Source organism: Homo sapiens, chromosome 5, assembly GCF_000001405.40.
Source record: "Homo sapiens chromosome 5, GRCh38.p14 Primary Assembly".
Taxonomy (NCBI): Eukaryota; Metazoa; Chordata; class Mammalia; order Primates; family Hominidae; genus Homo; species Homo sapiens.
The window spans coordinates 122296009-122323579 of record NC_000005.10 but is presented as its reverse complement, the minus strand read 5'-3'; the positions used below and the strand labels follow the sequence as shown (position 1 = coordinate 122323579).

General features: G+C 39.8%; 1 protein-coding gene and 1 long non-coding RNA gene across 38 annotated transcripts in view, besides 2 other annotated features; one reads left to right on the top strand and one right to left on the bottom strand.

Annotated features, from left to right (window-relative positions):
• Nucleotides 1-12227, bottom strand: part of SNCAIP (synuclein alpha interacting protein) — a 152867-nt gene extending 140640 nt beyond the window's left edge. For 15 of the 37 annotated variants that reach the window (XR_001742366.2, XR_001742364.2, XR_001742365.3 and 12 more), the window contains exon 1: nt 11296-11343. The gene's annotated coding sequence lies outside the window, so the exon portion shown is untranslated. The other 22 variants (XM_047417911.1, XM_047417917.1, XM_005272139.2 and 19 more) reach the window with 12 other exon arrangements.
• SNCAIP-AS2 (SNCAIP antisense RNA 2) lies at nt 220-2289 on the top strand. Its single transcript, NR_198973.1, has 2 exons — nt 220-260; nt 1746-2289. It is a non-coding gene; the product is annotated as an SNCAIP antisense RNA 2 (long non-coding RNA).
• Nucleotides 11442-11541: a silencer, noted in NCBI's record as "silent region_16268". NCBI's record gives its function as "represses an Ori minimal core promoter by ATAC-STARR-seq in GM12878 lymphoblastoid cells {active_cell/tissue: GM12878}" and the evidence as "EXISTENCE:reporter gene assay evidence [ECO:0000049][PMID:35858748]".
• Nucleotides 26285-26786: an enhancer, noted in NCBI's record as "NANOG hESC enhancer chr5:121632489-121632990 (GRCh37/hg19 assembly coordinates)". NCBI's record gives its function as "activates a minimal SCP1, AML or CMV promoter by ChIP-STARR-seq in naive H9 embryonic stem cells {active_cell/tissue: H9 hESC(naive)}" and the evidence as "EXISTENCE:reporter gene assay evidence [ECO:0000049][PMID:30033119]".

Sequence of the window (27571 nt, the reverse complement as noted above, 5' to 3'; positions counted from 1 at the left end):
CTCTGAACGTTGACTTAGGTGCACACACCTGTGCTTCCATTGGCAACAAAAGCTTTGAATGCACAGGACTTCCACGGCATGAAATGCATTTACATACATTACATAAGAGAGAAGCAATGAGCAAGTCTGTTGCTGGGAGAGGCTCACATCCTTCTCACCAAATCAATCTGTAACTTTCAAATAGCTCTGCTGTATTTCCTAGCAACAGGAGTAAACACTGTACTACATCCAGTGCCCAAGATTTGTAACCACGTTAATCTGTGAGTACTCAACTTAATTAAAGATTAGACTTTTAAATTGTATTTTTAGTGCACAACAGTACTGCTAAATTATGATTATCAGTGGCTAAGTGTGCTTATGTCTGCAGAACGTGGGGAATGAAAATGAATCACTTATTTTCATCTTGATATGACTGCTCTTCTCTGAGGCGCTGTTGCCCGAGTTCATGGGCCTTGGAGTTCATTGGAATTCTATGGTTAAAACACAGCTTGGAGACCTCATTTATGAAAATTCTTTTAAACCTTTCACCACTTCGACAAATCCAGTCCAAGTTCACTGAGCCAATTCAAAAGTAGCTCTCAGCCTTTTTATAGGTTTTCAATTACACCAACACAGAACACCAGAGCTGTCATCTTTGAAGAAATATATTTTAGTTGCAAAGAGGCACGAATTCTTTTTTAAGAATCCCAAATGAAAGCAGCATTCCCAAAACTGTAGCCAACAGATGCAAAATTCTATTTTGAAGTGTCCTTGTCTTAGTAAAGACAAGATCATCAAATTACTTAAACATGGCTAATGTTTAGTTATCTGCTATAGAATGTATGCTATTATTTTTAAGATTTTACTTTGTGGAATTATTGGCAAGCTACCTCACCCTCAAACTGTTCCAAATATCTTTTTTGAGGAATTGTTTAAAACATTTTCTAGACTTCATTCATCCTCCTAAAACATAGTGTGTGACAGCAGGATTTATTTTTCCTGTATGCACTCAGAAACAAAAACTCAAAGCAGGTCAATGAGCTCTCCAGGTTGAAACTGGTAATCAATGGTAAAACTGAGGTTAGACCTTATTCAACTTTCCAGTCCAATGTACTCTTTAAGTGGGCCTGAGGTAACCGTGCTGTTTTCTGAGATAAAAATCCCTTTTAAAAATGTTTATATGACTTAACAGATCAAACATATTTCCCTCCATTTTCAAACTTTGAATTTATTTGAATATGTGGTTAGTATGGTTTTATGGAAGTACCAATCTTTTAGGTTGGGTTATATGAATTATTTGAAGTGACACTTATCTTTGGGGGTAAAGTAGATAAGCTAACATGCACATTAGTTGGTTAGAAGCACTTGCAAAATTTAAATACTGCATGTGCAAAGGCAAATTGACATAGGATATAAATCTCCAGTTCTCTCAGAGGGAGTAGTGATGACTCTAAAACCACTGGAAACAGAAAGTTCATCGTGATGACTCTAACAGCTCCCTGATGCAGGCTACTCTTCTCTTGTATATTTAATGTTCTATATATGTCAGTTGGCCTTGTTTGCAATCTCAACAGGAGGCTTGTTCACTGGACGAGTTTTTGTTTTTGTGTTTGGTCTGTCCTGTTTTTTTGTTTTTTTTTTCCATGTTGTTGAATAAGACTTATGATTTCACATACTAGACTGCTTATAAGTTCTTCTAGTATTTGGTATTAAAAGAGGTGAAACAAAAACTAAACAAGGTGTATACAGTCTCAATACAATTCTAGGTTAGAAGCCTAGATGTGTGACTGGAGATGCCTCCTGTCCATTCAATCTGACTCCAATGTGGTTCTGCAGCACTGGACAAAGATGGGAGATTGAAACAGGAGCCCCTGCGATGGGGGAACAGAGCCAGGGAGCAGGGGTTGGACAGGTAAGCCTCCATATACCAAGCCCTTCAACTCCTGGAGTTACAGTTATCCCTCCTTTGTTCATTAATGATTCACCATGTACCCACTGCCAATGGTGGGCTTTCTAAACACTGCACTCTACATGAGAGATAGAAAGATGACAAAGACATATTCCCTTCCCTCAAGAACCCAGGTTTGAGAAAACAACCTTGTGAACCTTCTATTGGAGCAGCAATAAAGATCTGAGCTAAGTGTCGAGGGAGGCTGAGGAGGTGGTCACTAAGTCTGTCTTAGGCATCCCAGGGTCTCCTCAGAGTCCAAGCCTGAAGTCCACTGCAGGGGTCACCAGCCACCTGTGGCCACATTGGAATGTGGCCATTCTGAATTGAGGTAAGTAAAAAACATACACCAAATTTCAAAGATGTAATATGGGAAAAAAAGAATGTAAGGTACTTGGTTAATGATTTTTTATATGGATTACATATGGAAATGCTACCATTTTGGCTATATTGGGTAAGATATATTATTAAAATTGATGTCACCTGTTCCCTTTTACTTTTTTAAGCGCGCCTGCTATAAAATATGAAATTGCCTGCATGGCTCCCATTCATGGATCCTATTACATTTCTATCTGCCAGTGTAGGTTGGTGCAGTCACAAGACAATGCTTCAGGAGAAAATCTGGGGAGGCGGTCTCAGGGCAAGAGGGTGAGTGGGGGAAATGCCTATGGAATGAGAAAGAGACAACAGGGGGACCGACCCATCAAGGGCTACAAAGAAGGTGAATTTGCTTTCTGAGTTGTGCTTGCCTGCCGGACTCATTTGCAGCAAGAGAGACCAGAATATAAAGGCCACGATAATAACATCTCAAATAAATTAGAAGCAGCTTGTGGTTTATAGTGAGCAATGCTCTACTGGGGACCAGACCAAGCAGTTACCCCTGTCTTCACTCCATCTGTGGTTAAGTCATTTGGTCACTGTTGCCTTCTCATCTGCAAAGCGGGGACTGAGATTAACTGCTTGGCCTGCATATCCCCCTGACTCTGTCAACTAAGTTTTCGGAAACCTGAAGCACTCTAAACATCCTGGGGGAAGAAAGGGCTGGAGAAACATACAATGTTTTGTGATCAGAGTTTTTAAGCTGAAAAGAATGAAGAAACTTGAATAGAATAAATTCTTGATACTTCCTTTTTCATAACACTTACCACGCTTTATTTCGATTATTTATTAGCCCCCTTCCTAGCTAGATATAAGCTAGCTATAAATACCATGAGCTCAGGACCCACATCTGTCTGCTCACTGCTGTGACCGCAACTTAGAGGACAGAGCCCAGAATACAGGCCTCAATAAATACTGTGGAAGAGGGGTCACATGGAGAATTTGCAGTCATTTTTGCTGTTGAGCATCTGTTAAGTTAAAGTTTCCAAGTGTGCAAACTGTACTCGGAAATGAGTAAGAAGTAGAAACTTACCTAGAGATGATCAAACCAGTAGTGCTGTCACTCTAATGATGTTATCTGTCCCACTGTGAAAACATTGTCACAGGTGAAGGAGGAGAGTGAGGTGAGACCTTCCCAGCCCTTGACTGCTCTTGCACTGGACACATTCCAGGAAGCTCTTGTGGCAGAAGCAGCCACTTAACTTACTTTTAACAAGAGAAGCTGAAGGCTGAGGGAAGTCAGGACCAACAGAGGATCCAAATTTCAGTGGCACAAGTCTTAAGCTTCATTTGGTTGCATGAATGAGTGCGGAAGCAGCATGAAGTAGTGGTGATACAAACCTGGGTTCTGTGTTTAATTCTATTCTCAGTACTTTCCCAGTGGGAGACTGTGAGTTCCCTCTCTGAACCTCGTTCTCCTCCATGGCTTAAAACTGGACTCATAATGCATGGCTTAGCTATAATGTACCTTTCAAAAAGGGCTGGCATCCGGTAAACACTGAATAAATGGTTACATGTCAAACACAGTAAACATTCAACAATGGCTAATATCTTCCTTCTGCATCAGCTTTTAAAACAGATTTTTTAACCTGGAGTCCAAGGAGTCCCAGGAAATCCACAGACGAGATTCAATGGATCCTTGAAATCCCTAAAATTAAATACAAAGCGGGGTATGTGTGGACATCTTTTCTCTTCAAGGAAAGAATCCATAGCTTTCATATGATGCTCTTAAGACTCTCAGACTGAAAACAGTTTAAGAACTATTGAGTTTCTGTGGCTTCCAAAGTGTTTAGCTCCTTCTATTTATCTATGGAATAGCTCTGTGAATGACTCTCAAAACCAAGCTTTTCTGTGCCTCCTCAAGAGGCCTGCATTTTATATGCAGCAGTACAACTTCCTTCCATAAGACGCTTTTATTTTCTGGCAGCAGCAGTATCACAGGAAGATGACTGGAATTTATAAGTAAGAAACTGATCTTAATTTCAACAATAGTACTGGAGCCCTTACCTCTTTAAATACACCTTTTTCCATAGTTTTTTTTTTTATAGGATTGATGACCAAAGAAGGCAGCTATAATGTTTTATTCTCAAGATGATGGTTACTCATCTTAGAATAAAAACAACAACAACAAAAAATAACAGATGAATGGGAAGAGCCCAATCAAAGCTTTATTCTACTCCTCAACAACTCAGGTGAGTGTCTGGCCACTTGGCAGTCGCCAGGAGGAAGGAGCTTAGTGGCAGACAAACTGCTTCAAATCTCTAAATCTTTGTTTCCTCATCTGTTAAAAAAAAAAAAAAAAAAAAAAGATGATAACAGTGACGCCTCCTACCTAGGGCTGCTGTGAGAACTAAATAAGAAAGTAATTGTAAGGCATCTTTTAAGTACTCAAAACAGAGTGCCTCATAAATATTAATTATTAAATATCCTCTCTGATGATAGGGGGAAAAGGATTCCTTATCTGGTCTCTGACCCATAGATTTTAGCCTGGAGATTTACTCTGGGTCACTGATATTTTCCAGCCTCCTCCTTAAGGTTGTTATTAGTGACCAAGTAATAAGTAAGTATATAAACCATTGAGAAAACTGTTGAAAAAGTGTCTGAGCAGCAGCTTCAAAGAGAATCTGTCTTCATGTCCCAGTATCCTAAGAGGCAAATGTGAAAATCAATTTAAAGGAAATAGAATATACCTAAAGAAAGTCACCTGAAAAAATGAAAGATGAATGATTCAACACACATTTTTCTCTCATTTATTTAAAAATTTTTGAGATACATGGTGGGCAAGGCACTGTACTGAGCACAGGATGTGCAAAGATAAGGAAGTAAGTCCAGCTCTCAAGACATTTAGTCTACAGAGGGAGACACACATGTATATCCAACGCCATACGTACCACAGGATAAAGTGTGATGTGGGGAGAGGCTGGGAGGGGATGTTCAGCAGGGGCTTCTTGAAAAAGCAACACTTGAGATGAGTTTGGAAGGATAAGTAAATGTTTAATAGTTCATAGTTTGAGAAAGAAGAAACAATATTCCACAGAGACAACAGCCCATGTAAAAGCACATGCAATGAAGCATTTAAGCATGGGGATAATATGGGCAGCTAGAAGAAGGCGTTGCTGAACATACCAGCACCTACCCATCCCCTGCACCCACAGGAGGAGGCAGGACTCACCTCAGAGAGAATCTTGGAATTCATGGTAGGAGCCTGTACTTTTCTCCAGGACTATGACAAGGTTTGGAATGGTTCTTAGCAGGGAGTTATATAATTCAATTTTATCTATTCTTTAGAAAGAGCAAGCAGGCAGCGGTGAGGAGGATGGATTGAAAGCTGAGAGACTGAAGGCAGCATTTGTAGAGGTGACTTGGGAAGAGTGAAACATGAAAGGAAGTGGAGCAGGAGGTCTTGGTGACTGATTAGGTGGAGGAAGAAAGGGAGAAGGTCAGATCGAGATCATTCCCAGGTCTCTGGCTTGGAGGTGTAGTGAGAGGATGATATGCCTGTCAGGGAAAACAGGTGTTATAGTATTTAATAGATATCTGCTGTTTCTGCACGCACAGCATCTCCTATCTCTTCTTTTCAATATTTCCTTTTAAAAACTACCCCTTCCCTGCTCTCAGGTTATATGGTTTAGAAGAGTTTTGCTGACTAGTCTCCCATGTACTTCCTTCACTCCCATACACTCCTTCCCACCTGCCGTCACACATACCACTCTCCCCTTCCAAAAGCCTCCAGGACTGGGCTCATAATCAAAGCTGAGTCAAGTGGCATGGTCCAAATCTCCGGCCATAGGGTCTGGTTCAAGCATATGCATGTGATCAAAGTGGTCTAATTAAAGTTAATCCTGAATTCTCTTTTTCTCAGGAGTTAAGCCTAAAGCTGCAGATGAAAATTTTGCCACCATGAAGAAAAGAAGAAATCAGAATTGGATTCTTTCTGAACTTTTCCTTTACAGTAGCCAGTATATGCCCTTTCCTACTTGAGCAAGTATAAACTGGGTTTCTGTGATTTGCAACCAAGTGTCCTGACAAACACAAGGATGAAAGACAACTGTGTCTCAATAAAGGAAAAATAGTTTATTTTTATGAGTGGTGGATTTAAAAAACCTACATTACTGTGACAAGAGTACCTTAAAACATTTAAGTCTACAAAAGGCACTTAGGGACTTTATAGCAAACTCTACACTTATAATGAAAAGCCAGACCAGATCATTTTAAAAAAACGTTACTGCACGAGATAATGGCACATCCACTCGTTCAATTAACATTTATTGAGTGTCTTCAGGGGTTTTAGACTTGTGCAATAAAAATGATAAAAACGTATTCTTTGGTTTGAGCTGGTCCATCCAAGGTCGTTCCATAAAGAGCAGCTGTGTATGCTGTTCAGACTAATTGTGTGAAGCTGGAGAGGCCAGGTGTTTCTGTCTGGCCCAGCAGCTGCACTTTGCGGTAAGGGCACCACCTGAATTTCAGTCTGGCCATAAAATGAGGCTGAAGAAACAGCACCTTGCATGAGCTTTTAGGTGAAAGGCAGAACAGAACATGTTTAGAATTCTTCTCCCTTCTATTAAACATCCATTAACGTTAATGAAGGAGTCTGGATGAGGCATTGTGCCAGACCGTCTTTTCTTTATTTTCCACGAGAAAACTCCACCACAAGCATGGGTTCAACTATTATTCATGCATCTACACTCTATGGACATATGCCTAAGTTGTCACCTCCTGCCTTCTTACCTCTTGCTTCCCCACGTCTAGGCCGAAATAAATCTTCAAGTGTTCATCTGTGGTGAGCATTTGTTGGTCTTGTCACCCTATTTCCATCTCCACTTCTGACAGCAGTGCTCCAGTGTCCTTTAAGGGTGAACCCACCCACTTTGCATTGTGTGCTGACCTGGTGTGGCTGTCAGTCAGTGCTACTGGCTCAGGAGTGTGGATGCCACTCAAATTAAGTCAAAGGTGTTCTCTTGCCTGGTATGCTTAGTTTAAGGGAAGAGCATTCTAAGAGTAGACCTTCCATCCTGAGAGTAGTGGTTCTGACTTCCCTTTGACATCTTAGGGAATCCCTGAGGTTGTATTTTGTTTTCTGTTGATATACACATAAAGAAACTTAACTATATACAATAGTGCACTGTGATTTAAACACTAAACAATAGCTAACATTCATAGCCTACTCTGCAGCTTATAAAGTACTTTGACATTCAATTTATCTCTTTTAATCAACATTTCTGGAACTGAATTTTTCTCCTCCCCCAAATAAATCCCTTATTGATTTTTCTATTTCTTACAAAAGCACAATCATTCTTTTAGTCACTTAAGTATTTTTAAATCTCAGAATGCTTTCGACTTTTTACTTTTACTAACCCCCTATAATCAGTCACCTCATCCTAAATATGGGATCTCCCAGATCGACCCCTTTCCAATTTTCCTGCCTCCATTTTTCTCAAAAACATCAACTTTCAACAATGCTCAGCTCACCCTGCCACCAGCCTCCTGTCTCCAAACCATCCCAACACCACTGTCAGAAGGATATGACTAAAATTTTATTATCATTGTGTCATACTTCCTCTACCTGGGGTTTATAGAAAAAAAATTGCAGGACAATGATTTACTGGACAATTACTTAACCTAAATCCTGGGCTATTGCTAAGCAGGCTCCAATATGCTCTCCTAACATATTATTTTCAGCAGAAAACATCTGCTAGACACAAGTATCCTCAAAAATGTAGTAGATCACAAAAACTGGCTCTAATTTTTTGCAGCTCCTTCTCATCATAAGTGGACTCTTTCTATACCCCTTGAATCTGGGGTAACCTTCTGACTTGACATGGCTAATGGGAGAGTAGCTAATGTGATTCAAGGTGAGGTTTTAAAGTTGCTTTTGCATTGCAGGTTGTTCTTTTACTGCTCTTACAACACTATTTGATTTGCCATGTAAAGAAGCCAAGGGGAGTGTGCTGGAGAATGGGAGGTACATCCCAGCCACTCGTTATGTTACCCTGGCCAACAGTCTGATAACTGCCAGACATATAAGTAAAGCCATTCACAATTATACCACCAGCAGACTGAAAACGTCTGAGGGAACCTAACTAAGAATAGCAGAAGAACCATCTCACTGAGCCCAGCTCAAATTGCTGACCACCAGAATCATAAGCTATAGTGGCAATTTTAAGTAAATGCATTTTGTGGGGATTTGTTATCCAGCAATGAATAACTGATATAACATTTAAGCTACCTTGATCACTCTCTCCTCAGAATTCCTTTTCAATTACTATTTAGCATCTTAGGCACTCAATTATGAAATGTGTTCTTCGATGTTTAGTATCATTTAATTTTCCATGGGTCCTATTTCCTATGAAAATGTTCCTTACGAAAAGACTATGGATTTTAAATTGCTGTATTACAAATAAGCACAAAGTAAATGCACGATAACTATTTAGGAATCAATTAGTACTTTCCCAGGGCCTAGCTATCAGTCTTATCAATTAAAAATTATTTTAACACATATTTTGATCATTAATTTCAAAAACGTAAAAAACCGCTAAGATGCAAACCATAAAATATAAATCTAGTTACCTAATCTATAAAGTGAAAAATCATGCATAGTACATATGATACTAGCAAACAAGTTTTTGATTCATTTTCCATAAATAACTTCCTGCAAGTGAATCTGCATATAAATCAAATGGGCACAAGAAAATAAGTATATAAGGGTAAAAGTTTCACAGAAGCAACTATTTGATTTTCACCAGGATATCATTTTTCTCCCAAGACACATATTTCTCCTATGTGGTTTGCAACTGTAACCTGACAAACTGCCAAAAACAAAGCTTCTATTCTAAGAGTGTTACTGATTCTCTTGTTGCTATTCAATTAGATTTTGCATTTAAAAGAGAAATTCCCTTGTGTTTCCTATAATGATGCACCTGCTCCTTGGGAGATTTCCTCTTTTGACAAGAAATGCCTTAAATCTGGCAAGAAAAACAGCTCCAGGCTTTTTCTGCTAATATCAAAGATCATTTGTTTGTATTAGATGTTTGTGTGGGTTTCCCTTAAGAGCAGTAAAGTACTGCTACAATTTCTTCCAAAACAATAGCACGCACAAAGTTTCTTGGCTTGCATTTCCACTGTACACCTGCACCAGAACAACTGTCTGGAATTAGGAAAGTTGTGACAGAGTAGACAGAGAAATGCATTTGCTTTAGTCACTTCCTTTTGGATATCAACAAATGGTAACCGTCAAATTCATGAATGCAGCATCATTTCAAATCTACTATCTGTAACTTTTCTTCATGAAATGCTTGCTACGGAGAAAATGAAATTTACATTCAAAATTATACCCCTTCTTTTCAAAATCCCATGCTATATTTTATTTCTAACTGAGGTGTCCAAAAGATCCTTAAGAGAAGCACTATCTTTTACTTTCTGATTCCAGACCTGTTAATGCATACATATTTAGTTATGGGTAATCCTCAGTTAATACTCCCTTTCCAGAGAGACTTCCGCGATCAGTACCGAAATATTGCACCTTCCAAAAAGTCTTGAGGACTGCTTAAAGGTGTCTCCTTGTACTCTAACCATGCTGAATGTAATTTAACATTGAGATGCATCAGAAACAGTCAATAGACTTTCTCTCCCAGATGTGTACACATTAGCATACTGCTTTCCTACACCTTGTTCTTTGCCTTTTAAATTTTCAATATGTACAAATGAAATACAGATTTCAACCCATTCCCAATTGGGATGTCTGCTCCATAAAAGAAAAATAGGTTTTTCCCTTCCTACAGATTCAGCAACGAAAGTAGTGCTTGAAAATTACGTGTTTAGAGTGACACCTTGGAGAACTGACATACTGTGCACACATGTAATCCTCATAAACTTCCCCAGACAGCCCTTATTTCATTTTGCAAACTGCACCCTGGCCAGGCTCCACGGCACGTGGTGTGTGGCGAGACTGTCCTGCAGCAGTTCTCCCGTCCTCCGGGCTCTTTGATGGGCACTTGTCAGTAACAGCCAAGAGGAATCCGATCCTGCCTCCAGCAAGTGAAAAGGGGCACCGACAGTAATGCTTCCTTAATTAACTTTCCCAAGGAAAGCAACGTTCCCACAGGAAAAAACAACACGTTTCCCCCCTCCTAGCCGTCCATTGAAAATGAGCAACAATGCTGTTGCCTTTTTGTTTCCTAAGACTTTCTTCGCTGCAAGCAGTAGCGTGTTCCTCAAAGAATGCTAGTATTTCCTGTGGAAACTGTATGGCTGCCAGTAATGGCTCATAATTTTCCCTCTTTTCTCTTCGTAAAAATGAAATAAACAAAATGTGGCCTTTGACAATTAGCTAAAATTGGGTTCACCCCACTTACCACCTGCAGATGAAAGTCATCGCCAAGAGACAAGGCCAAGAGAGAAACATTCCCCTCTGAAATCCACGCGGACCAGCCTGGGACGCAGAACAGCACTAGAGGGAGGCTGGCGGAGCCCGGGCTGGACAGGGCAGTCGGGGAGCTGGTGCTGATGAGCGAGGGGCGGCAGCAACACCAGACGTCCCTTTTCTACAGCTATTATTACCGTTGTTAGTACTGTCGCTATTACTATTACTTCGCCCCTCCTTATCTCAGCTTTTCCGAGCCGCGGAACTGCCCATCCCTGCCTGCGATAAGATCCCGGGTGACAGCAAGAATAAGAACCACATGAGGCGGGCAAATGAAAAGAACAATCCTTTGGAAACCGAGGCGGGGGTTGTTTCCCCCTTTCCCCAGTAAAGCAGCCGCTGCCGCCACCACTGTTACTGTTACTATAGAGACCTCCCCCTCAAACCCTTTCTGCAGAGGCGCCTCTGCTGCCCGGAGCAGCCGAGACTCGCGGCACAAAGGGGTCCCGGGGCTTGGGGAGCACGGGGCGACACCCGCCGGGGTCGCCTGGTGCAAACTTGGAAAGGCTGAGCCGCTGGCTGCCCGCCTCCCGCCTCCCCGCGGCGTCCGCTTGGGACCTGGACTCACCCGGGGCGCCCGGCGCGCCGGCGGCTCAGGAGCGCGAAGGGACTGACTGACCGACCGACGGACCGCAGCGGCAGGAGCAGAACAGCCTCAGCCGAAGTAGGCGGGCGGTGGAGGCGCTGCCGCGGCCCCGCTACGTCACAATGCGGCCCGGCCGCGGGCGCCGCTCCCCGGGCCCCCCAACGGGCGCGCGCGGGCGGGGGCAGCCTGGGCGGCCGCGGCCCGAAGCCGGCGCTGGGGGACAAGGAACGCAGCGCGGGCGCCCGGCCGGGGACGGGGGCGCGGCCACCACTGCCACTGCGGAGGCTGCCGGGGCCGCCGCGCCCTCAGGCTGCGCTGCGCCCCTGCGGCCGCCCCCAGGCCAGCGAGCCCCGCTCGGCCTGACTGACAGCGACCCTCCCCGCGGCGCCCCCGGCTCGGCCCACGCCCCTCCCTCGCCGCTTCCTCACCAGGGATCCCCCGGCCTGCCCGCCGGCTCCTGTCCACGAACCTGCTCTTTCTTTACCTTTCGCTCTTTTTACCTCGACTGCCGTTGCTTTTCCCCAGCTGGGGCTCTCCTCTCCTCCCCGCCTACTTTTTGTCCGCGCTTCCCACTTTTCTCCTCCTGCCCCCCACCCCCTTCCTTGCTTCTTGGCCTCTCCCCCTGGAAATCGCCCCCTCACCGTGATCCAAGCGTTAACCGCTGCCATCTCATTGGTCCCCAGACCATTCCAGGGTTCCAGCATAAACTGGGAGAAGAGACTCGGGAAGGCGGGGAACGGAAGGTGGGCATTGCCCTGGGAAACTCATGTCTGAGAAGCCTTTTGGCAGAGTATTTTGCGTTGGCACGGAGTCTTCACCCCCACCCCTCCCCCCGAAGCTCGCCCACCCCTGAGGACGTGGCCAAGGAGAGGAGGGCAAGGGTGGCTTTGCCTGCCTGGAATGTTCTGTGCTCAAGTGTGGGTGGATGGAGAAGATGTTAGGCTGAAATAAAGACTTTTTAATTCAACGACGTTTCAGTGTACCAATGGCCCTACAGTAATATTATCTTTACTTTTATTGTCTCTTAATTGTTGAGGGATTGGGGGTGGGAGGCTGCTGGATGAGGCGTAAGCAACGCCTGCAGTGGTGACTACTTCTTTCCTTATTTCCGAAATGAAATCAGGGGTTGTGGAAGCATTTATGGTAACCTTGGCTCGCGACTGTCTCGCTGTTGCCCTCTGGAAAGCTTTAAATGGTCTTTGAGAAATCTCTTTCCCAGGCGAGATGACTTGGAGAAGTTCACTCAGCAAAGCCATTGAGGACCACACTCTTGTTCCAGGGTATGGCTGCTTGCCTGATGCTGCCCCAGAGAAAAGCATGAGGAAGTAAGTCTTGGTCAGTTTAGAGGCATCCTCATTCCCATGCCTGTTCCAGAGGACAAGAGCGACGCCAAGATCCTAGGACACCCGGCACTATCTGAGTAGTGGCAATGGGGATGTGTGATCTTGTTACAACAAAAAAAGGAAGGCTCTGGTTGTTTAAAGCTGGGGTTTCCTGGGTAACTAGCCTAAGACTGCCTGCAGTCTTTGTGGAGTCCACAGTGTACTAGGAGGGCATAGCCGGAGTAATGCTTGCCCTGGACCTGTTCGGACCAGGACCATCGTCATTGAAATGAGGACTAACTTGAATGCCAGCAGAAGACATTTCACATGCGTCTAATTCCATGTCCTACTGAAAACCTAAATTTCTTTCTCGGCTTTTGACATAAACAGCCAAGAGCATGTCCGGCGGTGTTGTAATTTGTTTATTGTAATTTATCGTGTGTAAGTCTTAAGTACATACATGGAAAGTGGCTTCACAATTTTAAAAATACACATTATCCCCCAGTAGAAAATATAAAATTGGATGACATCATGTGGCACTAAAAATACTTGAAAATATTGGGTTTAATTTGTTCACATCTGGTTAAAATAAAACTGCCTTTTTTTTTTGCCTAGTGTAAACTTCGAGAAAAGCACATCTTGCTTTCATCCAGTAGATATGGATGGGATTGGTGTCACCCTTGACATGATCTACAGAGAACATACTTCATTTCTATTCTCTTAAATATTTTGACACTCTGTTTTCTGAAAATCAGATTTTAATTTATTGAAGGAATCATTTATTGAAGAATTGTAAATGGTCATCTCCTTCCAACTGTCCTAAATATTCATTAGCTCTGGTCGAGCCAGGTGTTAATTCAGTATAAATGATTCAACAAGAAGGGGTCTGATAGTGCTGTATGTACAGAAAGTGGGTTGTCCTGGGAAATAAAGTTTCCCATTTTTGCATAGCCAAGGGAATAGCATGCTACAGTGTAAAAGAGCAATCTTTTGAGTTGTTTTTTCAGATATTTTCCTCTATTTTTTATGGTTCTTTTGTTATGTTTTTTCGGTTTCTAACATGTTTTTGATTACATATTTAGCATTGTTTCCATGTGATTGTTTTTACAGTGTGATTTAAATCTAGGCTTATATACACTTTCCCACATAGGCTGTGTGTTTGCCTTCCTTTGGACTGTTTATTGGTTTGCTTCTCCTGTGCATACCCTTGCCAAATTCAAACTACAAATTGATATACCAAAGTGTGGAAGTAGTCCTTATGTTGCTTCTTACTGACAACCAGTTTCTGGCATTCAGTTTTCTAATCAAGCAGCTGCCTCTATGGGCTAGTTATTCCCAAGACGTGGCTTAGCAGCCCAGCCACTGGCTCATTTACCATTTTTTAGGATGCCCCACCCATGCCTGCCACAGCACAGGGTGTACTCCTCTTAAAGCACTTAGCATACTTCTGTTTCTTGTCTGTTTCTTATCCTCTTCTATTCAATTGTCAGTTCCCATCATGATGACAGGGCGTACATATTACTCATATTGGGATCCTCAACACTGAACACATTTTTATACTCAAGAGTTAGCTACTGAAAATAATTAGTACAAAAATGCATTTCACTCTGTATATCATCTGCCAAAGAGCTGCCAGTAATTTGTTCATTTAATTATTACAATTAAACATCTGTCTTCTCTATCCTTTTACCCAATTTCTATAAATATATCTTTATTGTGCTACAAAAATTGGATAAAACTACCATAACACTATTGATGATCAAATAGAAAAAAATGTTCCTTATTTTTTCTATTTTTAAAGTGTAGATTTGACTTAACCATCCAAATCTGTGGTAAAAGCTCAGATTTTTTATTCTTATTAATGAGTCTGCGTCATTCTGATTCTGGTTGGGAGCTATAATTGGTCAGGCCAGGCTGCTCTTTTATTCTGGAGCTGAGTTTTATTTGCTTGGCTCCCACTGTATATATGTAATTATAAGTTATTTATATCAAAAATCAGACTAAATATTTTTGCAAATTTGATTATATCAGTCAGGATAGGTTAGACTGTGCTACAGTAACAAACAATCCCATAACAACAACCCCAAACTTCCATAGATTAATAAAAATATATTCTTTGCTCCCACTGTACAACAGTTGCACATGGGCTGCATCTTTGCTTCATGTCTTTCTCACTTTAAGACTCCAGCCCAAGCTAGGTATAGTGGCCCATGCCTGCAGTCTCAGCACTTTGAGAGGCCAAGGCAGAAGGATACCTTAAAGCCAGGAGTTTGAGGTTACAGTGAGCTATGATTCCTCTACTGTACTCCAGCTTATGAGACAGGGTGAGACCTCATCCACCCCCCGCCAAAAAAAAAAAAAAAAAAAGATGGCAGCCCAATGGAGGAGCCACTAACAACAATATTGCTGGTAATTCTAGATAGAGAAATACATCCCTCCAGTAGTTTATGCTAGGAATTAAATGCTTCGGCTCAGAAGTTACACAAATCACTTCTGCTCACAGCTCATTGGCCCGAACTAATTGTGTGGCTCTACCAAATCACAAGAGGACAAAGAAGTGCAATTCTTACAATATTAGAATAATCCTGGAATATTTGGTAATAATTAGAATATTTGGTAAATAATCCTTAGAATATTTGGTAAATAATAATATGAGGAAATATGAACATATTACACTTCACTGTAGATATTATAAAACATGAGAAAATTCTCTGGGTATTTTACATAAAAGCCAGAGAGCTTAAGTATAAAAATGGATGCTGAAGAGAAGTATAAATTCTATAGCAGTTTTAATTTCGTAAATAACTGCAGAAAAAAAAAGAGTAAAGAACTGTGGACTTTGATGAAGAATGATTAGGAACCCAGTTTTTGAACATTTTTGAGTTTTACAAGGAAAGAAATCATTATAGAAAAACATGGAGTTACCTAGTTTTCTAGCAGGTTTTAGGTCACGCTCACATATTCTCCCCACCTCCTTTTCCCTGAACGTACCTCCCTTATCTTTTTCTTTAGGCCAGGGCACATCTTTCTTGCCATGTGTGTCCCTGTGTGCTCGAGCTGGATGTGACTAACAATTTGACATTCCTCACCTGATCTGTTCTTCATGATTGCTTTTCACTTTTAAAAAGTTATTTTTTTCCTTCAGTATTTCTTTTTTTCTCTTTTCTTGTGCCAAGTGTTAGTATTTTGCATCTTCTTAGCACCTCTGATAGTTATAATGGGGAGGGAGATGAAATCCAAATCCAGAAGCTTAACTGCTTATAATATAGCAGCTTTAATAAAAGATTTAGTGTAGAAGAAATCTTATGGATTGTTAATCTGATTCCTTGAGATTATCCTGGGATTCCAATTAATTCTATTACTCTGTTTTACCTATTCCTACGTATCATTCATCGGCAGCTTTGTTGCTGGTATTTTAAATGGAAACTGTTAGACATGTGCAAAAACACAATCAGATAAATGAGTGTCTTGCCATGTGTTATGACACTCATTTTGGGGCAAAAATAGAGACTATCCACAAGGGACTAATGCGTTTTCTAGAAATCATGTGATTTGGGGGCTATGATCTTTCCCCTGTGCTTATCTTCCATAATGAGTTACCATCAGAGAGCATAGTCAATCTGGGTAGCAGCTAGAATATAGACAGAAACTATGAATTTCAAACTCCATTCAGGCAGGCAATGTATAAGCTTCATGACTGGATTTATCTACTCTTACTTTAACCCAACAGCTAGGATTTGGCAGGTTAGCACTGAGGCTGACTTGGGCTCACTCTCCACCTAGGCCTTGAGAGACTCTTTGCCTCTCCTCACTCAGCTTCATCTGTAAACCTTCAATTTTGATTTAAAAGTGGTATTTCTACAGCTACCTGAGCCTCATTGGACTGGTTGCTTTTCTCAGGGATTCTATCCACATTGTCTTCAGCAAGTTGCTTTTTCCTGGATACTTTTACTGGAAAGCCTTTACCCTCCCAAGGTGGCCTATAGTTTTCAGGTGTATTTGAATGACTCCCCTTGGGTCACATCACATCTCCCTATCTGTCCACTGTTGCCCCTGGTCTGAATCAGGTTTCCAGCGACAATGGTGAAATCTACCTGAGCCTGGTGCTTCCAGAAAACAGTGATGATTGAGAAATCCCTCAGCTTTTTAGTGTTCCAGGAAATGGCTCACCACAAAGAGCCACCCTTGCCCATGTGACTTAAATAAAACTCTCAGCCCACTCTTTCTCACGACCCCCATAAGATTCACAGATGACTCCTTTGTTTACCTAGGACAAGACCAAACACAGACTTTCCCCTTTTTGCCTGGATCTGCTGATAAGACCAGACACAGACCCTTCAACTTCCCATTCTCTATCTTATGAATGATTAGCTGAGATTAAAACTGTTTGTCCCTCTGAAACTTGCTAGAAACAGAGATAAACATTTCCTCTTCAGCTAACTGACCTAGACTTCCCCTGACTGCAAAACGACCCAAACAATAAATCATCCCACCTGTAACTTGTCTATTCTTCCCTATAAAATCTAAGGGAAAATCAACCTACAGAAACATTCTGATATTCAGATGTAGGGTGTTCTTCTATTACAAGGGCATGAATAAAATCAATGTTCTCTGGTTCTCTTCTTTGACACCATCCTTTCCCCCTTTGTATTCTACTGTTTTTTTTCATCTTCATTAGTAACTACTTTAGTCACTAATGTAAACTGATATCATGGATCTGTTATTTAACCAAAAAGTGGGTATTTTAATAAGGAAGAGTGTTTAAAACCCTACAAATTGTACAGACTTATTCAATTTTTTCTTAGGTTTGTTTTCTCTATTGCTGAAATAAATAGCCCTCCTTCATCAGAGTATTGATCTTGGGGATAAATGAATATGCCATACCCTTGCTGAATGGGCACCACATTTATTTTCATACCATGACATATGTGTATAGCAATATCTTAGTTATTAAATATGCAGGCAAGTCCTCTAGTGGACGCTACATCATAGAATTAATATACAAATGCTTCCAAATTAGTAATTTGCCTGCTAGGTTATACTACTTTCCAACTTGGGCAATAGGAAAGAGAAATATTTTCTAAGATGCAGGCCTAGAATGGGTGCTTTCAACAACTGGTATATCTCACAGATTAAAGACTATGTAAGGCGAGGGGGAGAAGGGAATGAGAGAGATCCGTAGGGAGGGGCACCTATACTTTCCCTCCCAGAATGACTCCCTGATTATAGGCCAACATGCATAAAACCAAACATCATCTGGGGCAGTCTGACCTTGACTGGGGATTTCCATTTTCAAGAAAAAAAAGAAATGAAAAAGTTCACTTAAGACTGAAAAAATTGGGAAATCTTATGAAATTTATATTCTGTAAACATGGAGTACTCTTAGGCAAGGGCACGTTTAGACACTAGAGATTTCACACGTGTGCATAAACACAGATTAAATCTCTAACTGAAGGTTTTGGTATTTGAAATAAATTTGATTAGGTTGTTTAAAAAGGAATGCAGGTCAGCTGAGTGTGGTTAAATGATTTGAAGAGAAATGCAGGTCAACTTCCGAACACCATGCCACATGCATGTGGATCTGACATGGCTGCAGACTATGAAACCAATGAAAACACATTCCATTGATTACTTATCAATTGTAACAGCATTATATTTTTAATTGCTTCTGGTCCTAGAGGTAACTATTAAGTCTCCTTTCTTCATTTTGATAATAATTGTACTATAGCATATAATCTGTGCTTTGATATTACTATAATATAAATCCACTGATATAGTTGTATTCGGAGTTTCTGTTGTCTTTATGATACAAGTAATTTATCTTTTTACTCATCTATTCTAACTTGAGAGCAAGGACATGCATTTGGAAATAATTAGATTGGTTTATGGATGATGCACATGGCTATGAAATGGAAAAAGGGGATTTAGATCCAATGGGGATTAAAGCTATAACTGACTTTAGTCTCTGGCTTTATCTTTAAGCAGCTTTTAGTGAATTAATAGGACAGAAACTTGTTCCCCTTGGATAAGCTTCACAAATACTTTAGAATTGTTACATCTAAGTAGCAGCAGAAAGCTGTCAGTGCATGGAATGCTTAAGTAATTATAATCACCACTGTTCCAAACCAGAATAAATCCTAATTCCAAACAACTTTTGGGAAGAAAGACTAGTTCTGAAAATGAAGTAAGGTTTTCAGTCCTGTTAAATATGACTATCTTGTGAATTTTACTTTCTTCCCCAAATTTGTAGCTTCTAGTGCCAAATTCCCTGGACTGGGGACATATGGTCGTCTTTAGAAAAAAACAAGGAGAAAAATGCTGACTACATATTGAACTAGATGAAAAAAAAAAAAAAGCTGATGGCTGATTTAAAAAAAAAGTTCCTTGTAAATCATGGGGAATTTTTTAAAGGTGATTTGTAGGAATAGAAAAGAAAGTAATTATTGATGGAATAAATGGTTTTAAATTCAAAGTCCAATGTAACCCTATAGTATAGAGGACTTAAGGATATTAATCCAAGGGTCAGACTCCATGGGTTCAAACCCCAGCTTTACTTATTTTATCTTTAAAGTTATTTATTTATTAAGACAGAGTCTTACTCTGTTGTCCCGGCTGGAGTACAGTGGCATGATCTTGGCTTACTGCAACCTCTGCCCCCTGGGTTCAAGTGATTCTCATGCCTCAGCCTCTTAAGTAGCTGGGATTACAGGCATGTGCCACCATGCCCAGCTAATTTTTATATTTTTGGTAGAGACAGGGTTTCACTATGTTGGCCAGACTGGTCTCAAACTCCTGGCCTCAAGTGATCCACCCGCCTCCGCTTCCCAAAGTTCTGGGATTACAGATATGAACACCACACTTGGCCTTATTTTATCTTCAACATTATTTAATATGACCAGGCCTCAGTTCCCTCAGCTACAAAATGGGATGCTAATAGTCTCTACTTCAAAAGACTATGAGACTTAAATAAGCTAATATTAAAAAAAAATTACAATTAAACATACTAAGAGAATTACTGTTTGTTAAGTAAGTAAACTCTATAATGCTTATGGAGTATGGGTGAATCCATTTGAAATATGGACCCTGAAGCTGAGTGCTGGCTAGCTGGCTATAAATATCCTTATTTCTCCACTTGTATCACGGCATTAAACATAACTTGAATTATTTGCTCCTTAAGCCACAATAATAGTATATCTTATATTCTTATGTGGTAAGTGTATAGCTTTCCACAACCCGACTTTTATTATAGTCACAGTATGTGAAATGTTATTTGAAAAACCTTTTAGTTCATGTTTAAGTATTGCCATTGGTTCTCTGGCAATTTAAGGCACTTAATATTTAGATCTTCTCATTTGATACTAAACTTTGATTTGTAAACAGCATTAACATTCTACCCAGACCTCCAAAGATGATTTGACTCATAACTCAAGAACAGACATAGAAGAATTTTCAAAAATGAAACATCTGTAATGAGAGGAGTATCATCAGCATTTTAAACTCTGTACTGATTTTAATATGATTTTGATATGTTTGTCATTAATTTGTTATCAGTGGAAAAATACAGTTCTTGAAAAAATACAAAGTACTTTTCCATGCATTTATTCAGCAAATATTCTTGGGCACCTGCTATGTACTGGGCACTGTGATAATTGTTTAGGCTCTGTTGAGGTGAACAGAACAGGCACAACAGACTGCTCTTATGGACAGTCAATAAACATGTGTATTTCCTTGTTGCTAAGTGCTATGAAGACAAAACCCAGATAGCTGTGGCAGAAAATAAAGAGAGGATCTAATACAGCCTTGGGCAGTTAGGGAAGAATTCTGAGTTTTGAAGAACCAGAAGAAGTTAATGATGTGAATAGTGAATAGAGGAATGTTCCAGGTAGGGGAGGCAGATTGTACTGCTGAGTGTCCATCCAACAACCACCCAGAAGCCAAAAAGGTGTGCAGAGTGTTTCCCAAATTAAGTTAGTGATTAAGGAAGCTTTAATGAGGCTCATGTGCAATGTACCCCATGGACTGGCACACATGCATACAAAAACAAAAACAATCGTCACCACCACCTCCATTAACCATAGATGCAGAAAACACAAGTGGAAATGTTGACATATTAAAGTGCTTGCAAAGCCTTGGTGTGATCAATGTCACCACGTACTACTCATCCCTAGAAAGCAGTTCTAAAGAGAAAGTAGAAACTCCTAGGGCATCCTCTGGCATGAGGATCAATCACTGCTATTAGAAATGTGTAGCCAAGGTAAAAAGGAGATTAATCGTTCCAAAACCTTGGAGAATTGAGACTAGAACATAAAATAAATGTAAGAGCAAGTCAGGGGTAGCAGAAATCATGAAAGTGATGAAAAGTCTATGAGAATCATAAATAACCAGGTGGATACTTTTTTAAAAATGTCATTATCTAATATAGAATTTAACTTAAGAATTATGAGCTGTAAATTTTGAGCACTTCTCCTCACCTCTAGCTTTCCACGTTTTCTAAAATCTGTCCTGACTTTGGAAATGGCTTTTAGTAGATAGATTGACTAGGGGAAAAGAGCTTGGAATCTTGGTACAGATTTGAGGAAACAAGGATTTTTGAAAAAAACAATTTTATGTTCATAGTATCCTAAACTACTCAGAACTATGTAGTGTTATATAAAATGATCATACGTCCACAATGGATAATTTAAGTATGGCCTACAGAGTCCTTCTAGTCCTTCTATGGCACTGTTTAATACAGTAGCCACATGTAGTCATAGAACATTTGGAATATAGCTAGTCCGAATTAAGATGTGTTGTGAAGGTAATAGATACACTGGATTTCAAAGTCTTACGTTGAAATAAAATATTCCAAAGTAAAAATTCGCCAGTAATTTTTAATTTTAAAAAATTCAGCTACTAGAAACTTTAAAATCACATATTTCAGTTATGTAGTATTTCTACTGGACAGTTCTGTTCTTGGGAATGTGAAAAATCATCCCCATCATACCTGCTCCCTAAACTTCCATCCCAAACCATTCCATCAAAACAGATGGCAGTGTTGTCAAAAGGGGGAAAACAGGTGGCTAACTAGCTACAGGTTTACGTGAATGGTAACAGATGAACGTGACAGTTACACAGTATGGGAAAAATTGATGTTTGGTAGAAAACTCATCAATAAATGCTAGAAGGAAATTACTGATGTGCTCTGTAGATGTTCCAAAAGAAGGAAACTGGGAATATTAAAAAACAAAACAAAATACTATTTTATCCTTGTGCTCAGTAGCTGAGGGGCTGCAAAATATATTGCAGTTCCGGTCTGTTGTGCTTCTTCAAACAGAAAGAGAGCCTGCATGATTCTCTAATCCTATACCTAACATCTCTTTTTCTTTCTCTCTCTAAAACAACTTAATAATCAGGAAATAAGCCTTTACAGTCAGTGTGTTAAGAATCCAGTGTGCATTCTGCAAACTGCATAAAAATAGTCCCACTCCAAGTAGACTATGCAACAGATGTTGATAATACTTAAAATGAGCTGAAGACAGAGAAAAACTATTGCATCTTTATTCTTGGCTGAAAGAAAAATCTTTTCCCTTTAAAAGATCTACATAAACGTATGCCCTTAGCAAACTAGCTAATATGTCAGGCTTCAAAGTGACTAGACTGTACACTTACTGTTTTACTAATCCTCTGGCTTCCCTTGTTTTGAGATAGTTACAGAAAAGTCCATTTTGGAATATTTCCCTTTGGCTTTAACACTTGGCAGAGGAGTCTACTGTCCTCTGCTCTTCCTCACATTAGTTATAAAGCTGTTTGTCATCTCCAGTATCCGGAACACCTGCTTTTTAAAGGACTGCTGGCTCAGGAAGAAGAACATAAGTTATTTTTATGCAATAACTCACCAGCTCAAGACTTTCAAAAACTGTATCTGAAACACTGTATTTTTTTTCCCTCATAATCAAATAAGGTGTTTTAAAAATCAAAAGTTTTCATTTTACCAGAATTTCCTTTTAAGATAAATCACCAAAAGGCAAATGACAGGCCAGTTGGGCAAACCAGAGAAACAGAGCAAACTTTTTGCTCATAACAGGATACACAGGTAAGAAAACAAAAAGCAACCATGTCTTCTAATCCAGTGAGAAATATTTAGAAGAAATTATAGAAACCTTGGGCAGGGAAACTCTCAAAACATTTAGGAAGGTGGCTCTGTTACTTCTTTATATGAAGTATGACACTTAATGTTCCATGTTGTTTTTGCCTTTTAGCAGACCTTCTTTTTTCTTGTAAGAGCTGTTACCTTTTTCTTCTGAGAACTCTTCTTTCCCCCCATTGATAGATTGGTTGAACACTTGCCTCCCTCAGTATAGGGATGGGCACATGACCACGACTAGCCAATCAGGGTTTCACATCCTCTTGGCCATAAAGATTGCACAGGGACAGATGATTGGTTAGACCTATTTAAAAAGAGGTAGTCTTTCTTGTTCTCTTACTTTTGTTAGCTCAGAGGGTGATGTAAGCCTAGGGCAGCCACAGTTGCCATCTTTGCTACCCTGAAGGAACACCCTGGTTGAGAATGAAAGCAACATAGAAAAAAGCAGCAATAAGAGGTAGAAAAAAAGAAAGAAAGAAAGAAAGAAAGAAAGAAAGAAAGAAAGAAAGAAAGAAAGAAAGCAAGAAAGAAAGAAAGAAAAGAAAATCTTCATGAAAAAATTTAACGCAATTTCTCTTTTATGGCATAAGCTTTTTTGAGCTGGGTTTCTGTCTCTTGTAAGCAAAAGATTCATGAATAATACACAGTTTTAGCACAAATAAAAATTAGGTAATAAAAGAGAAAGAAATGAGGGAAGAAAAAAAAGAATAAAAAGGACCTCCCCAAATGGAGAACAAAAATAAGAAAAGTAGAAATAATTCAACATTTTCTCTTTTTTTCTCTCAGTGTGCTATCAGAAACCACACACATGCCAGACACACACATTGGCATTCTAAAGAGAAAATATAGATCTTAAGTTATCCAATAGAATTGAACATAAACTAAGCAAGTACAATAAAATTAACTACCCCTGGCAATTCAAGTGATCTGCCCACAAAAATACAGTTTTGAACCATACTTCTCAGCTCTTCCCATATTGTTTTTTTCTATTTTACCATTTCCCCTTTTTAAATAAGAAATTGGCTATTTTAAAAAATTAATAAATGAATTTATGCTCATTTCAAAACATGTAAGTAGCAAAGAGTGTATTCAGTAAGAAATAAAATCCAAATCTTACTCTTTTCAAACCTATTCCTCAAGCGTACTCTTTCAGATTCTTTTCCTCTCATATATCAAAAAAATTATTTTTTAACAAAAAATGGAATCAAAAAATATATTTTGTTCTCAATTTAATTCTTTTTTAAAAATTAAAAAAAATAAGTTTGAGACAGAGTCTCACTCTGTTGCCCAGACTGGAGTATAGCAGTGTGCTCATGGCTCATTCCAGCCTCAACCTTCCTGGGCTCAGCTGATTCTCCCACCTCCTCAGCCTCCCAGGTGGCTGGGTTTACTGGTGTGTGCCACTATGGCCAGCTAACTTTTTTGTATTTTTTGTAGAGATAGGGTTTCACCATGTTGTCCAGGCTGGTTTCGAACTCCGGAACTCAAGCCATTTGCCCGCCTTGGCCTCCCAAAGTGGTGGGATTATAGGCGTGAGCCACTGCACCTGGCCAAATTCTTTTTATTTTTAATAACTTAAGGCATTTTATGGACATCTTTTCATGCAAAAATTTATAAATCCACCTCATTTTGCTTAATGGCTGATTAATATTTCAGTGTATTGATGGCCATTTAGTTTGTCTCTAGTTTTTGAGGGTTTTTTTTTTTTTCCTGTTAGTCCCAATGATATATTAATAATAATAATAATACACAACTATGAATATATTCTTAAACTCTTTTCTTTTTAAAAGTTATGATTACTTGAATTATTGTTGCAGCAGTTCTCTAATTGCAAGCTACGAACTAATGATCTAAGGACAAGGGCCAATGAAAACCTTCACCCTGCACAGATCCTTGTGTACACTGGGTCTGATGAAATTGGCAGCAGCCAGTGAGGCATGATTTGACATGTGACATGAGAAGAAACATCAACATAAATTATCTGACACAGGATGGGTGAGTTCTATACCCACAGTCACACATGCACAGCCTTTCCTGGTGCTCATGTATAACATTCAAATCATGCTCCAGGCTTACAGGTCTTGGCAGATAACTGACCTCTTAACCTACCTCTCCGCAGTTTTCATTGTCAGCTGCTGTCAATTACCACACAAGACAGTTAGTAAAACTGTTCTTCACCTTCAGGCAGATGTCTATTGTCCATTTGTCTAAATCAAGAGGGTTACAAGTACCTCTAATTCTGAATTCTGAGGGGGCATTTGAGTCCTGGCAGGACTGACAATACAATTGCTGCTCTTTAATCAGCCTAGTGGACAGGATTCATTTATTTCACCTTCTTTGAATTCCTTCCCGAGGAAATTTCGTGAGTTTTCAAACAGTTCAGTTTTTCCTTTTTTGCTTTTGTATCATTATTAACCCTGCAGGCTATTTGGCGGGTTGCATAGTGGGTGGTATATGACACTTAAGTTACTGAAGCCTGACCCAATTACCTTTAATATTTTCCTTTACCTTCTTCAGGCAAGAAAATTTGGGAAAACAATCTTTTCTTGTTGTGGTTTGTCACCTGGCTTAATTTTCTTTACGCTGGCATTTTTATGGCGGAAAGCAGTGAGATAAAATGTGCTGACTGATGTGTAGCACGGCTCCCTCTCCTTGTTTGGCCAGATAACCTGACTGGTACAGGATGCGCAGGTGACTGGCCTGTGACCCCAGAGAGACAGCAGAGCACACTTTCATTTCTCGTTTATTGTTTTCTTCAGTTCTACTGAAAGTAAGAAAATAACATGAGAACTCTGTAATGGAATCTCCAAAGGTGGCAGATTATTAGCTCAAAAATCAGTGGCCAGTTAAAACCACAAGCCCTCCCTCTTTGTTAACAAGGAAGATAAATTCCTGATGGCAGATCCCTGTTCAACACTGACATTCAGAAGAGAGTCAGAAGCCCAAGTCAGCTAGAGTTCTGTGACTTCTCCTACTTTACTTCATTTGACAATCATACATGAGTCATAAATGGCTACCACCAAAGCCATTCCCCTCCTTACTGAAAGTCAGGACTTGACTGCAAAATTGCGGGGTAGGCAAAGCTTATGTTGGGTACTAACCATCTCACTTTGCTTTTCAATGGCCTTCTACTTCTCAAATAGGCCCTTAGTTTCATTGCCTCTAGAAACCCACTATTCTTGCCCTGGGATGGTGTGCATATGTCCACATTTTATTGTTTTTATTTTAAATCTGGAATGTTTACTACATCTCGGACTTTTCTGTCTTCACCCTACACTTGCCACCCAAATATACTTGTCTTGGGATCCACTCCCTCTGGATCCTTAATAGGATGTGGAACCAAGCTGAGAAATCTATACAGTTCAGGTCACTCATGGGTACACCTCTTGGGTAAACTATGTGTTGCTAAGAAGGACTTCCTGAGTCTGGTTAAGATCTCCTTTATGTAAGAGGAATGAATATTATGATGGGACTTCCAAGCACTTTCTTATGGGAGGCATTTGGTGACAGAAATGCTTTTAGAAACTCCTCAAAGCACATTGGAGGCAACTCCCTACCACACTAACTTAGGCCTGGCCTTCTGCTATTTGATAGGAAATTTCATGGAATATCCTAACAGAGCTGCAACTGTAGCTCAGCAGTCCTTAGCCCTCCTCTTCACAGCAGGGGAAAGGAGCTCTGCCAGAGAACATTCTCGAATATGAGGCAGCCTCTTCATGCTCCACAAAAGAAGTAGTAAAAGGTCTTGTTTGAAATGTGTGAACTTCAGTGATTACTTTTCTCATGCTTATATCTCATTTCCTTCATGGCTAACCTGCCCTTATTTGTTATAGGACACACGGTATGCTAACTGCTTCTATAGAACCTCATTTAAATGCCCATCACATGTTGTTCAACTAGAGAGCTCAAAAGAGACACACATTGGGTCAGGTTGGGATAAAGAAGACAGCATTGTTCCAACTGATTCAACTATTACCTTTGTCTCTTGTCTTTTCAACTCAGTCCCATCTTTTCTGATACTTTGAATTCCCTATTTCATATCATGATTGTTTTTTCTTTAAACCATGTAGATTCTATATAGCCAACCATATATTCTAAGCAGCTACTGAAATTGCAGTATGTGATATAATTTTTGATTACAATAATAGGGAAGAGAAGTTAAGGTTCTAATGAAGAAGATTGTCTATTTCTCTGTAATTCTTAAATATATGTAAAAATTCATTTCACAGACTGCAATAAATAAAATCCTTTAAATATAGCTCTATATTCAATTGATAATTAGTTCTCTAGCCAGTCTCTCTAGTTTCATCTGTGTCCTTTTATGAGATAGCCTGGACTAGCCAACTATCCTATTACCAAGAATATATTTGCCTGGCTACTGAGCTATTTTGGACATCATTCTATTTAAATACAGTGCTTTCTAATTTTTCTATAAGTGATGATGTTCATTCAATTTACTTAGCTTTAGTACAACATCAAGAAAATTTCATAACATCAATTAATTTTGTATTCAATGAAGTGGCTATCTGAAGGATTAAAAAATAATTAAAGACTTTGATTTGGATAGCATTAAACTCTCATAAATCAGTTTTAAAAAGAAAATTTATTTACATTTTACTCAATTAAATATGTATTTACCAATCATGGTCAGGAGAGAGGAATTACACAGTAAGGGGAGACTTCACTTCTCTAGAAATATAATAAAAATGAGATACCAGTTATAAATCCTTAATCAGAGAATCTTAATCTTGGTGACAGGATATTAGGAACCAGCTAATTGGCAATGTAAGAAAGACCTAGAGTAGGAGGCAAA